General features: G+C 43.6%; 1 protein-coding gene across 1 annotated transcript, besides 1 other annotated feature; it reads left to right on the top strand.

Moving 5' to 3' along the window:
- SLC25A2 (solute carrier family 25 member 2) lies at nt 8,913-10,327 on the top strand. Its single transcript, NM_031947.4, has one exon. The coding sequence runs from the start codon at nt 9,097-9,099 to the stop codon at nt 10,000-10,002; it is 906 nt and encodes a 301-aa protein (NP_114153.1). The 5' UTR covers nt 8,913-9,096; the 3' UTR covers nt 10,003-10,327.
- Nucleotides 11,984-12,278: a silencer, noted in NCBI's record as "tiled region #13681; HepG2 Repressive non-DNase unmatched - State 24:Quies". NCBI's record gives its function as "represses a minimal TATA promoter and a strong SV40 promoter by Sharpr-MPRA in HepG2 cells {active_cell/tissue: HepG2}" and the evidence as "EXISTENCE:reporter gene assay evidence [ECO:0000049][PMID:27701403]".

Below are 12,986 nucleotides of genomic sequence, written 5' to 3'. Positions count from 1 at the left end.
ATCACTTGAGGCCAGGAGTTTAAGACCAGCCTGGCCAACATGGTGAAACCCTGTCTCTACTAAAAATACAAAAAATTAGCTGGGCATTGTGGTGGGTGCCTGTAATCTCAGCTACTCAGGAGGCTGAGGCGGAAGAATAGCTTAAACCTGGGAGGCAGAGGTTGCAATGAGCCAAGATCTGGCCATTGCACTCCAGCCTGGGCAACAGAGCGAGACCCTGTCTCGGGAAAAAAAAAAAATGCTCACCAGAATAAGCCCACTGCAGGGGCAGTGTCGCAGTTCAGCCATTTTCTAGTACTTCTAATTCCTCAAATTTCTCTAACATCTGTGCTTCAGTTTCTTTTTCTTATAGTAGCTAGTACATTGACTCCCATTAATAGCAGGCAAATGGTTAATGTAGCATATTCATTTTTAAAAATCCTGTTCTTTCTGTTGCCATATGCAGTTTCTATATTGTATCTCCTTATAGAAGAGCAAAAGGGGAAAGGTTAGATGTCTCTCTTTTCTCTCCTTCATAAATGAGCAGCTAAATTCAGAATACAAAGTAAGGTACTGTACTAACATGAGATAAAATTGAAAATAAAACAATTATAGTCCAGTATTGACTTTCCAAGTGCACGCATTCCAAGTCAGTACCAGACAATAAACGCATCAAGAGGAGAGCAAGAAATAAGCAAGAAAGGAGCACTTACCCAGTAAAACATTTCTCCTTTCTTGCTTATTTCCTGCTCTTCTCTTCATGAATTTATTCACTTGGCCCCATCAAAACTCTCATGCCCCCTATCAATATTTATGATATATTTTTATACAATCCTAACATTTCTTCTTATAAATAAAACATACTCCTAAGCAGAAAAAGTAATTTTTCATGGGTATCCTTATCACTGGGATATTCTTTTCTAGGCGAGAGCTACATTTCCTGGATTTACTTCCATTTCCTACATGTCCTGAACTCAATGCCCACCCTTCCTATTAACCTGAAGCCTGAGAGTGACCCTTCCATGGAAATTATCTCCCACATTCTCTCTACAATCTTTTCTTAGATTTTTTTTTTTCTCACAGGTACTGTGATAGCTAGCCTCCAAGATGGCTCCCATTGATTCTTACCTCCTGGTATTAATCTTGTATAGTCCCCTCCTACATTGAATGGGAATGTCCTGAGTAAATGATAAGCTATTGCAGAAATAATGATTTGTGACTTGCAAGGCAAGGTCATAAAAGACATGTGACTTTTGCTTCCTCTCTCTTGGATCGCTCACGCCAAGGGAAATCAGCCACAATATTGTGGGGACACTCTTTAGAGAGGTCCAAGTGGTGACAAACTGAGGCCTTCTTGTGAACAGCCAGCAGAACTTGCCAGTCATGTGAGTGATCCATCTTTGAATCAGATTTTCCAGCCCCTGGTCAAGGCTTCAGATGACTGAAACTGTAACTGACATCTTGACAGAAACCTCATGAGAGACCCCTAAGTGAGAAATACCCAGCTAAGCTGCTCCTAAATTCCTGATCCACAGAAACTATATGACATATAAATGTTTGTAGCTCATTTATTTCACTTCATTTTGGAGTAATTTCTGATGCAGCAGCAGATAACCAGTACAAATTTTTGCTACCTACCTAGAAGTGAGGTGCTGCCATAAAAATATAAAGTGTGAGAGTGGCTTTGAAATCAGGTCTGTACACATTTCTCAAAAGAAGACATTTATGCAGCCAACAGACACATGAAAAAATACTCATCATCACTGGCCATCAGAGAAATGCAAATCAAAACCATAATGAGATACCATCTCACACCAGTTAGAATGGCGATCATTAAAAAGTCAGGAAGCAACAGGTGCTGGAGAGGATTTGGAGAAATAGGAACACTTTTACACTGTTGGTGGGACTCTGAACTAGTTCAACCATTGTGGAAGACAGTGTGGCTATTCCTCAAGGATCTAGAACTAGAAATACCATTTGACCCAGCCATCCCATTACTGGGTATATACCCAAAGGATTATAAATCGTGCTGCTGTAAAGACACATGCACACATATGTTTATTGCAGCACTATTCACAATAGCAAAGACTTGGAACCAACCCATCAATGATAGACTGGATTAAGAAAATGTGGCACACATATACACCATGGAATACTATGCAGCCATAAGAAAGGATGAGTTCATGTCCTTTGTAGGGACATGAATGAAGCTGGAAACCATCATTCTCAGCAAACTATCACGAGGACAAAAAACCAAACACCACATATTCTCTCATAAGTGGGAATTGAACAATGAGAACACCTGGACACAGGAAGGGGAACATCACACACCAGGGCCTGTTGTGGGGTGGGGGGAGGAGGGAGGGATAGCATTAGGAGATATACCTAATGTAAATGATGAGTTAATGGGTGCAGCACACCAACATGGCACATCCATACATATGTAACAAACCTGCACGTTGTGCACATGTACCCTAGAACTTAAAGTATATAAAAAAAAAAAGAAATCAGGTCTGCACATGGAGAGAAACCGCTCTGGAATTTTGGACACACAGAAACTATGGGATATAACAAATGTTTATTGCTTTTTAATGCCACTAAGTTTTGGGAGTGATTTATTTTACATAAGTATATAAGTAATGCTTGTACATAAATGTCATTTGAAAAAATAAGCAGAGTTCATTAGAAGAGTAGATGGAATTAGTACATGGAGAGCCTTCAACTCTTAAATTCAAGATCTAATATTAGTCCCCTGGTACAAGTGTTTAGAAAAAAAAAGATATAATATTAGGTGTTGGTATCAGTTGGGAGCAATTGTTATTTCTGTGTGTTCTTGATCCGAGAGACAAAGTGAAGAAAAGTGTGATATTGTGAAATATGTATTTGGTCTTTGACTCATTTCCTGGTATACAGCTGCTAAAATCCTTAGAAACTCCAAAGTGATGTTTTTTTCTATGCTAATGATTGACTTGAAGGCTGGCAGTCCCTAGGTAGCCTTAGGATGGGGTCTGGTGGCCAGAAAGACCAAGGCAGGATTAGGATCAACCTCTAGAGAAGGGGAGAGGGGCTGAAGGTTAAGCTGATCACCACTGGCAAATGATTCAATCAACCAGTCCTATGTAATGAAGCTTCCATAAAAACCCTGGGTTCAGCGAGCTATCTGATAGCTAAACACATGGAGGTTCTTGGAGGATGGAGCCCTGGGGAAGGCATGGAATTTCTGTGCTTCTTTCCCTATGTCTCACCTTATGCATCGTTTCATCTGTATCCTTTTGTAATATTTTTTATAGTAAACCAGTAAACGTGTTTCCCTGAGTCCTGTGAGCAGCTCTAGTGAATTAAACCCAAAGAGGGGCCGTAGCAACCTCAACATGAAGCTGGTCTGTTAGAAGTTCTGGAGCCCCGGACTTAACGACTAGTGTCTGAGGTGGGAGTGGGGTGGGGTGCAGTCTTGGATACTGAGCACTTACCCTGTGGAATCTGATGCTTTCTCCAGGTAGATAGTGTTGGAATTGGATTGGAAAACACCCAGCTGGTGTCTGCTGTAGAACTGATTGCTTGCTTGGTGTGTGGGGAGAAACCCCGACCCATTTGGTCACAGAAGTCTGCTGTGTTTATTGTTGTGGTGTGAGCAGACGCAAAACATCTTGAGTGCATTTTTCCACTCACAGAAACAGTGCTTAAAGACTGGCAATATGTGTGCATCATGAACTGTAGCCCAGTGGGATCCATATATTTTGATTTCATTCTCAGAAAAGGGAAGGGGGGAAAAAGGTTTTGTTTTGTCTTGCTCTGTCACCCAGGCTGGAATGCAGTGAAATGCTTTTTATGGAGGCAAAAATAGCCTAGCATGGCTGTTCATACAGCAAAAGAAGATAAAATAGCAATGTAGAACTTAATCCATTTATTTGCAATGAAAGATAAAATATATAAAATATTTTTTAAATCTCACTCAGATAACACCTTTACAGTAAATAACCTTAATTATATGTTTTAGGCTCTCTCCATAATGAAATAGTAATGCAGACTATATGCCATGTCACTAGACTTGGAATGCCTTGGACTTGCTTATATTTATTACACATATAATGGGCTCCCTTTGTCTTAAGGTCTACATCTAATGGCTAAACCATTTCCAAATATCTGTTTCATTTGCCATTCAGTGTTTATTTTTAGACTACAGGATGCTTCGAAGGCAAATTTCTAATTTATATTAGGTGACCTTGCAAAATCTACATAATATGTTATTATTTAAATAATTTCTGGGCTGAGCACAGTGCCTTATTCCTGTAATCCCAGCACTTTGGGAGGCTGAGATGGGAGGATCACTTAAGCCCAGGAATTTGAGACCAGCCTGGGCAACATAGTGAGATTCTGTCTCTACAAAAAATTTAAAAATTAGCTGGGTGTGATGGTGCACACCTCTGGCCCAGCTACATGGGAGGCTAAAGTGGAAGGATTGCTTCAGCCTGAGAGGTTGAGGTTACAGTGAGCCATGATTGTGCCACTGCATTCTGGCCTGGGCAGCAGAGCAAGACAAACCAAAACAAAACCCTTTTCCCCCGTTCCCTTTCCTGAAAGTGAAATCAAAACATAGAAAAAAATTCCTCAAATATGACATGAAGGATTTAAAAATCCTAATGAAGTTTTCTATTTTCAAATTGCAGATTGTTCTCATCCTTTCTGCTTTACCTAAGAGGCTGCTAAATAAAACAACAGAAAGGATTTTTAAAAGATGTTAACTTCTAAGGACAAAGAGAATAGGAAATGAGACAACAGTGGATGAGAGATGTCAACCCATTATCTGAAGGCCAAAACAGAGAAATGATAAATGAATTCATAGATCAGAAAAAGTTACATGCTAAATGTCTGCAAGTAGTTATACCAAAGAGAGACAAACCCACTTGACAGAGCCTTGTAAGATGCAAAATTTTTGCAAGCAGAAGATTCCAGGGAAGGTGGGAAGGTGTAGGGTTAGAGATGTGAGATTCATTAAAGTCTGTGTTCAGAGTTGTTGGGTGTCCAGGATCTCTATCCCACTCTATGAAGCCAGATAACTCTTTCCATCCCACAGAAGATGGAAATTTTATTTTCTGGATAAATTGAACCAAAGAAGGCCCAAACTCAGAGAAAGTAGGCACAGTGTCAAATAAGGAAAAAATTATGTGAAAGTCTGTATATTTACTCCAGGTGTGTCATCCCTCTTCCCCTCTCTTGTTCTCTTTAAATCAGTATCTAGGTTTATAACCTACCTCTCCCCCACCACACCCTGCACACACACAGTCAAAGCTCATAGAGCATTCTCTGAGGAAACTATGTGGTACCAGAGAAAAGAACTGCAACTGCTGACATTTGGGCATTTCCCAAAGAAAAGCCCAGATTACTATTTACTACAGTGAAGACTACCTGGTGACAAATTATCCATGCACAATTTGCTTTTTAGTACCTCATTAAAAAATTTTTTTTTAAATTTTCTCAGAGACCTTTGTTCTGAAGTACCTCACTTTTAATTGACAGCCAAGGATAATTAGACAAGGAAAGTTTTCTAAATGAAAGAGAATGCTTTCAGCATACTTTCTTCCCCCCAGATTTTGTTTTTACTACCCATGGCCGACGACGGCTTGGAATGTAAGCCTGGAGAGAATTCATTCCAATGCTGGGATTATAAATATCTGGGAGGAAGAAGTGTGTCCTGACAGTGGTATCCTCACTAATGTCCAAAAAACATCTTGCTTTGAAAGCTAGACATGTCATTTGTATCCCGAACTTCTACTTCTTTTTAAATTGAATTTCATTTTAGATTCAAGGAGTACATGTGCAGGTGTGTTACATGGGTATGTTGTGTAACGCTGAGGTTTGGGCTTCTAGTGAACCCGTCACCCACATAGTGAATGTAGTACCCAACAGGTAGGTTTTCAACCCTCAATCCCTCCCACCCTCCCCACTTTTGGATTCCCCAGTGTCTGTTATTCCCATCTTTATGTCTTTGTGTACCCATTGTTTAGCTCCCACTTATATAAGTGAGAACATGCAGTATTTGATTTTCTGGTTCTAAGATATTTCACCTAGAATAACAGCCCCCAGCTCCATCCATGTTGTGAGGGACATAATTTCATTCTTTTTTATGGCTGCATAGTATTCCGTGGTATACATATACCACATTTTCTTTATCCAATCAACTATTGATGAACACTTACATTGATTCTGTGACTTTCCTGTTGTGAATAGTGCTTCCATAAACATATGAGTGTAGATGTTTTCTGGTTTTTTTTTTGGAGACAGGGTCTTGTTTTGCCACCCAGGCTGGATCATAACTCACTGCAGCCTCCAACTCAGCTCAGTCAATCCTCCCATCTCCGCCTCCTGTGTAGCTGCCACTACAGGGGCATGCCATCATGCATGGCTACTTTTTGTATTTTTTTGTAGAGATGGCATTTTGCCATGTTGTCCAGGCTGGTCTGGAGCTCCTGGGCTCAAGCGATCTACCTGGCTTGGGCTCCCAAAATTCTGGGATTACAGGTGTAAGTCACTGTCCCCAGCACAGGTGTCTTTTTGATAAAATGATTTCTTTTCCTTTGGGTAGATACCTAATAGTGGGATTGCTGGGTTGAATGGGTGTTCTATTTTTAGTTCTTTGAGAAATCTCCATACTGCTTTCCATAGGGGTTGAACTATTTTACATTCCCACCAACAGTGTACAAACGACAAATTTCTACTTCTGCATGAGGCTGTGTGGGTCCTCAAAGAGAATCTCAAAACTTAGAAAGCATAGTGCTGAGCCACCCAGCTCTTTTCTATCAAGTTTCTTAGCAATGCAGTATATAAATACTATCCATTTTCCAAGTTGATTTTATAGTGCCGTGTTCTATCTTCAGAAATGATAAGGACTCCACGTTCCACCAGTTCCCAGGGCTGCAACCCCAGATCCTTGGGGATGTTGCCATGTGATAGCATTTCTCCAGCTCTGCAGGAAAGCAGTAGCACATCTCCAGGGCTAAGGATTCCCACAGTGCCCTACTCCCCTCCTTGCCCCCCAGGAAAGTGAGGAGCGTGGGCAGATCGCTGAGGGTTTTCTGATCAAAAGCAGTCACTGTCTCTCATGTAGCAACCCTCAGATCGTTTCGTTACCGGACAGGGGTCCCGATCCAGACCCAAGAGATTGTTCTTGGATCTCATGCAAGAAATAATTTGGGGCAAGTTCATAGAGTCAAGTGAAAGCAAGTTTATTAGAGAAGTAAAGAAGCAAAAGAATGGCTACTCCATAGGCACAGCAGTGGCCTGGGCGGCTTGACTAAGGATACTTACAGTTTTTTATTGAATGTAAGCTAAACAAGGGGTGGATTATTCATGAGGTTTCTGGGAAAGGGGTCCAAAGTTACCGGAACTGAGGATTCCTCCCCCTTTTTAGACCACATAGGGTCACTTCTTATTGTTGCCATGGCATCTGTAAGTGGACACGGCGCTGGTGGGCGTGTCTTTTAGCATGCTAATGCATTATAATTGGCGTATAATGAGCAGTAAGGACGACCAGAGGTCACTTATTATGCCATCTTGATTCTGGTGGGATTTGGCTGGCTTCTTTACTGAAACCTGTTTTATCAGCAAGGTCTTTGTGACCCGTATCTTGTGCCGGCCTCCTATCTCATCCTGTGACTTAGAATGCCTGTCTTCCTGGGAATGCAGTCCAGTAGGTCTCGGCCTTATTTTACTCAGTCCCTAGTCAAGATGGAGTTGCTGTGGTTCCAGCGCCTCTGACAGTTTGTCTTCTCTACTTTATTTTTTGTAGGGGGTAAGGGGTGTCTCATTTTGCTGCCCAAGCTAGCCTTGAACTCCTAGGCTCAAATGAGCCTCCCTCCGCAGCCTCTCCAAGTGTTGGGATTACAGGCATGAGCCACCACACCTGGCCTGTCTTATCTACTTTAAAGCAGTTTTCTTGTAGATTGACCCTCTGAATTCAGGGTCTATTCAAGTGAGGGCATCTTCTTTTCGGGTTGTTTGTTTTTGTTTTTTGCATGGTAAGAAGCGTGGGATAGGCCGGGTGTGGTGGTTCATGCTTGTAAGCCCCAACACTTTGGGAGGCCAGTGGGTGGATTGCTTGAGTTCAGGAGTTCGAGACTAGCCTGGGCAACATGGCGAAACCCCGTCTGTACAATACAAAATTTAGCCAGATGTGGTGGCTTGCGCCTGTAGTCCCTCTAGTCTCAGCTACTCAGGAGGCTGAGGTGAGAGGATCGCCTGAGGCCAGGAGATTGGGGCTGCAGTGAGCCAGGATCGCGCCACTGAACTCCAGCTTAGGCGGCCGAGTGAGACCCTAAGTCAAAAAAAAAAAAAAGAGAGAAAAGAAAAGAAGCAGGGCTGACTGATTAGGACAGCATTTCTTTTGCCGCCAGCTGAACTGCGGCGTCTAGAGTTCCCGGCCATAATTGCAAGAATTTATCGAAAAGCTTTACATGTTTTCTTGGTTTTGGTTTTGTTTTGAGACAGAGCCTCACCCTTTCGCCCACCCTGGAGTGCAGTGTGCGATCATAGCTCACTGCAGCATCGACCTCCCGGGTTCAAGCGATCCTCGCTTCATTCTCCTGAATTGCTGGGACCACAGGCGCGCGCCATCGCGCCCGGGTATTTTTTCGTTTTTGTAGAAATGGAGTCTTGCCATATTGCCCAGGCTGGTCTCGATCTCCTGGGCTCAAGCGATCCTCCCGCCTCGGCCTCCCAAAGTGCTGGGATACAGGAGTGAGCCACCGCGCCCAGTCGCAGTACACTAAAAGTATTTATTCGGTCCGCGTCCCCCGCCTGCGGGTGCAGGGATGGCGGCTCCAGGCTGGAGGCGGCTGGGGGCCCGGCCAGTGCGCCAGGAGCCGCAGGAACGCTAGTGAGCCGCGCGCTGGGCCGGCAGCTGGGGGTTATTTTAGTGCGCGGGGAGGGGGCGGCCCGCGGCGGAGCGTAGGGTTGAGCGGCTTCCCCCGCACTGGGGTGAGAGCCCAGAACAGGCGGTAGAGCCACCCCACCACCCCCAACTCCATTCCCCGCGCTCGCTGCGGCTGGACGTGAAAAGCCGGTCTCACGCTCTGGGGAGTTAGTCGCCTTCCACTGGGACCCTCAGACGAGTGAGCGAACATGAAGTCCGGTCCTGGCATCCAAGCCGCCATCGACCTCACAGCGGGGGCCGCAGGGGGGACAGCGTGTGTACTGACTGGGCAGCCCTTCGACACAATAAAAGTGAAGATGCAGACGTTCCCTGACCTGTACAAGGGCCTCACCGACTGCTTCCTGAAGACATACGCTCAAGTGGGTCTCCGGGGCTTCTACAAGGGCACCGGCCCGGCACTTATGGCCTACGTCGCCGAAAACTCGGTCCTCTTCATGTGCTACGGGTTCTGCCAGCAGTTTGTCAGGAAAGTGGCTGGAATGGACAAGCAGGCAAAGCTGAGTGATCTCCAGACTGCAGCCGCGGGGTCCTTCGCCTCTGCATTTGCTGCACTGGCTCTCTGCCCCACTGAGCTTGTGAAGTGCCGGCTACAGACCATGTATGAAATGGAGATGTCAGGGAAGATAGCAAAAAGCCATAATACAATTTGGTCTGTCGTGAAGGGTATCCTTAAAAAGGATGGCCCCTTGGGCTTCTACCATGGACTCTCGAGTACTCTACTTCAAGAAGTACCGGGTTATTTCTTTTTCTTTGGTGGCTATGAACTGAGCCGATCGTTTTTTGCGTCAGGGAGATCAAAAGATGAACTAGGCCCTGTCCATTTGATGTTAAGTGGTGGAGTTGCTGGAATTTGCCTGTGGCTTGTCGTGTTCCCAGTGGATTGTATTAAATCCAGAATTCAAGTTCTTTCCATGTATGGGAAACAGGCAGGATTTATTGGTACCCTCTTAAGTGTTGTGAGAAATGAAGGAATAGTAGCCTTATATTCTGGACTGAAAGCTACTATGATTCGAGCAATCCCTGCCAATGGGGCACTGTTTGTGGCCTACGAATACAGCAGGAAGATGATGATGAAACAGTTGGAAGCATACTGAAGTGTCTTGGTGAACCTGGATCCGAGTCCATGAGTTTGAGGACTACAGTTCATCACAGGGTTCAGCAGAGTACAAGACCACTGTCTAATTTTGACTTCATGGGAATTTTGGTTTTATCTTCCCTTCTTCTACCCTAAATCTTAACTTTATGGAAGGGCCTCTATTTTACATCATATAATTTCTGCCCATAATTGTATTGAAATAGGAAAGTTGCTGCTCTTGCACTTGCTGGAATGTACAGGGTGGGCTGGTTGGCCCTATGTACCTAATCTGAAAAACTAAATATCGTTCTGTCAGGGCCTTTGCATAAAGCCATTTGTGTGTACATGCAGTTTGGATGATTCTATGTCGTGAGTGAAACAATTTAGTTCTATATATAATCTCAAATATCAGCCCCCCAAACCCAGAATTGACCATATTTTGTGAAGATAGGTATGAATGATTACTTAGGATCACTCTCTCTTTTTTTCTTTTTTTTTGGAGACAGAGTCTCACTCTGTCGCCCAGGCTGGAGTGCTGTGGCATGATCTTGGCTCACTGCAACCTCTGCCTGCCTGGTTCAAGCGATTCTCCTGCCTCAGCCTCCCGAGTTGCTGGGATTACAGGTGCCCGCCACCATGCCCAGCTAATTTTTGTATTTTTAGTAGGGATGGGGTTTCACCATGTTAGCCAGGCTGGTCTCGAACTCCTGACCTCAGGTGATCCACCCAGCTCAGCCTCCCAAAGTGATGGGATTATAGGCATGAGACACCGCACCCGGCCAGGATCTCTTTTAAAGTCTGCTTAACATGCGCACTACATTAGGCGGTTCAAGTTTTGAAACATCTTCATGTGGTGCTTGATACCAAAATACTCCTCTCTCTCTCTCTCTCTCATATATATATATATATGAGAAAAAGTATATATATATATATACTTTTTTTTTTTGAGATGCAGTCTCACTCTTGTTGCCCAGGCTGGAGTGCAGTGGCACGATCTTGGCTCACTGCAACCTCCGCCTCCTGGGTTCAAGTGATTCTTCTACCTCAGCCTCCCAAGTAGCTGGGACTACAGGTGCACGCCACCACACCCGGCTAACTTTTGTGTTTTTAGTAGAGATGGGGCTTTGCCATGTTGGCCAGGCTCGTCATGAACTCCTAACCTCAGGTGATCCACCCGCCTAGGCCTCCCAAAGTTCTGGGATCACAGGTGTGAGCCGCTGCGCCTGGCCTCATCTATATTTTTAAGAGGAGAAGGTACCTGCATACCAGTGTGGCTTTGACATTCTTGAGTTAAAAGTTTCAGAGTAAGCATTGTGGATTTTCCCAAGAAACAATACCCTTAATATAGTGTTATCCATTTTCAAAGTGGGATTATATTCTGCACTCTGCCTATATGGTTAGGGATGATCTAGAGTATCATCAGGCCTTGGGGAATCCACACAGCCTTCCTGCGCCAGCTTCCGTTCTCCCCCTCAAACGAGCTGGGCTTTAGTTCGAGGAAGGAGCTGTGCACCTCTGCTTTGATGAAGACCCATGTGGCTGATAACAGTTCTTAGCTTCCAGTCTCTGGGTCCTGGCCTGGGTAGGACTCAAGGGTGTTCTATCGGCCCATTTAGAGGTTGTTGATTCATTTTGGGTCACTCACTGTCCTTTCTGCCTCCATCAGCCAGAAACCTTCCTGGGGAACAGAAAGTGACAAAGCTAAGAGAAGCTTTTGTTCCCTATTTGCTAATAATACTTGTGGGTAAAAGTCATCTACTCTCAGATAGAACTAGACAGAACTTAGTGCTTTTGCTCCACAATGAGTCATGTTAGGGACAACCCTTTCTTGAAGTTTACCTTGGGGTCCATAATACCTTCCCATGCCTTTACAGTGCTAGAGTCTTCTAAATTTGGTACTGTTCATCAGTAAATTTTAATGATAACTACGTATGGGGTGTGACTAAGGAATGAAACAGAAGAAAAGTAATTTTATTGAACTATATACCATATGTATGTATATGTACACTGTCAAAACCCCTCCAAAACAAAGAAAAACCCCCAACCCCAAAACGTAGTTCATTTATCTGATCCCCACAGACTTGGAGATAAGCAACTGTTCTTTGGCCATGTCATTCTTGTCACCACTAAAGTAAGCCCCATCATTCTGTGTTGCTCCAAGACCACCAGCAGGGTCTCTTTCAGTATCAAGTTTTCTTAAGCAGCCTCTAAAGCTGAAAAGAAGCAGGCTACCAGTCTTAATAATAGTCTGTACCATGTGGGTTTATTATTTGACAGAATGTAATTCCTGTGGGAAACTTTGTTTCCTTAAGCTTTTTGCTATCTATGAAATCTCTGTGGTAACTCTAGCCTTAGTGTCAGAAGCAAGATGGTCAGGGAAATGAGATACTGACCAGTAAGGGTTGCTGCGGACATTTAGGGGAGGGGAGGCTCAGTGTCAGGCCTGGTGTGCCCCAGAGCTATGGCTGATCTTCCATTTATTTACTTTTACTTTAAAAGAAAATCATGTTTATACTTTAAAGTTATTTATAGATTTAAGTTATATATTCCATACTTAAATGGTCAGTAGCTATGGAGTGGTGCTTCATCGGAGCAGGCCTGTATTAAATATAAAACGGGACTGGCGTTTAACAGGAAGTGGATCATTTCAGAGTCCACCGTCCCGCTGCCTGGCACCCATGAGGTAGTCTAAGTTAGCTTTGTTGTCAGCATACCTTCTTACGTGTCATTCATTAAAGATTTAACTCAATACCTTCAAAAAAATAGTATGAGGCAAGTAAGGATAGTGGGAGTGAGGAATAGAAATCTAAGTCAGGAGAATTTTTTTCCTGTCCTATTTGCTTAATTCAGTGTTCAATATTTGGGTACAACTTGTATCATTTCAGATCTCTAAGCAAAAATATAGTAATTTGAAATACTGTGTTTAAAGACATTTGAGGGTTCTATCGCCAAATTATTTATCTACATAATACTTATTTAACTCACACCATTTACAATGTATTG

The sequence above is a fragment of the Homo sapiens genome, chromosome 5, assembly GCF_000001405.40.
Source record: "Homo sapiens chromosome 5, GRCh38.p14 Primary Assembly".
NCBI classification, from domain to species: domain Eukaryota; kingdom Metazoa; phylum Chordata; class Mammalia; order Primates; family Hominidae; genus Homo; species Homo sapiens.
The sequence above is the reverse complement of the archived record's forward strand: the minus strand, read 5'-3'. Positions and strand labels throughout refer to the sequence as shown.

Coding starts and splice junctions, on each gene's coding strand:
- SLC25A2 (NM_031947.4), top strand. CDS start 9,097: ATGAAGTCCGGTCCTGGCATCCAAGCCGCCATCGACCTCACAGCGGGG.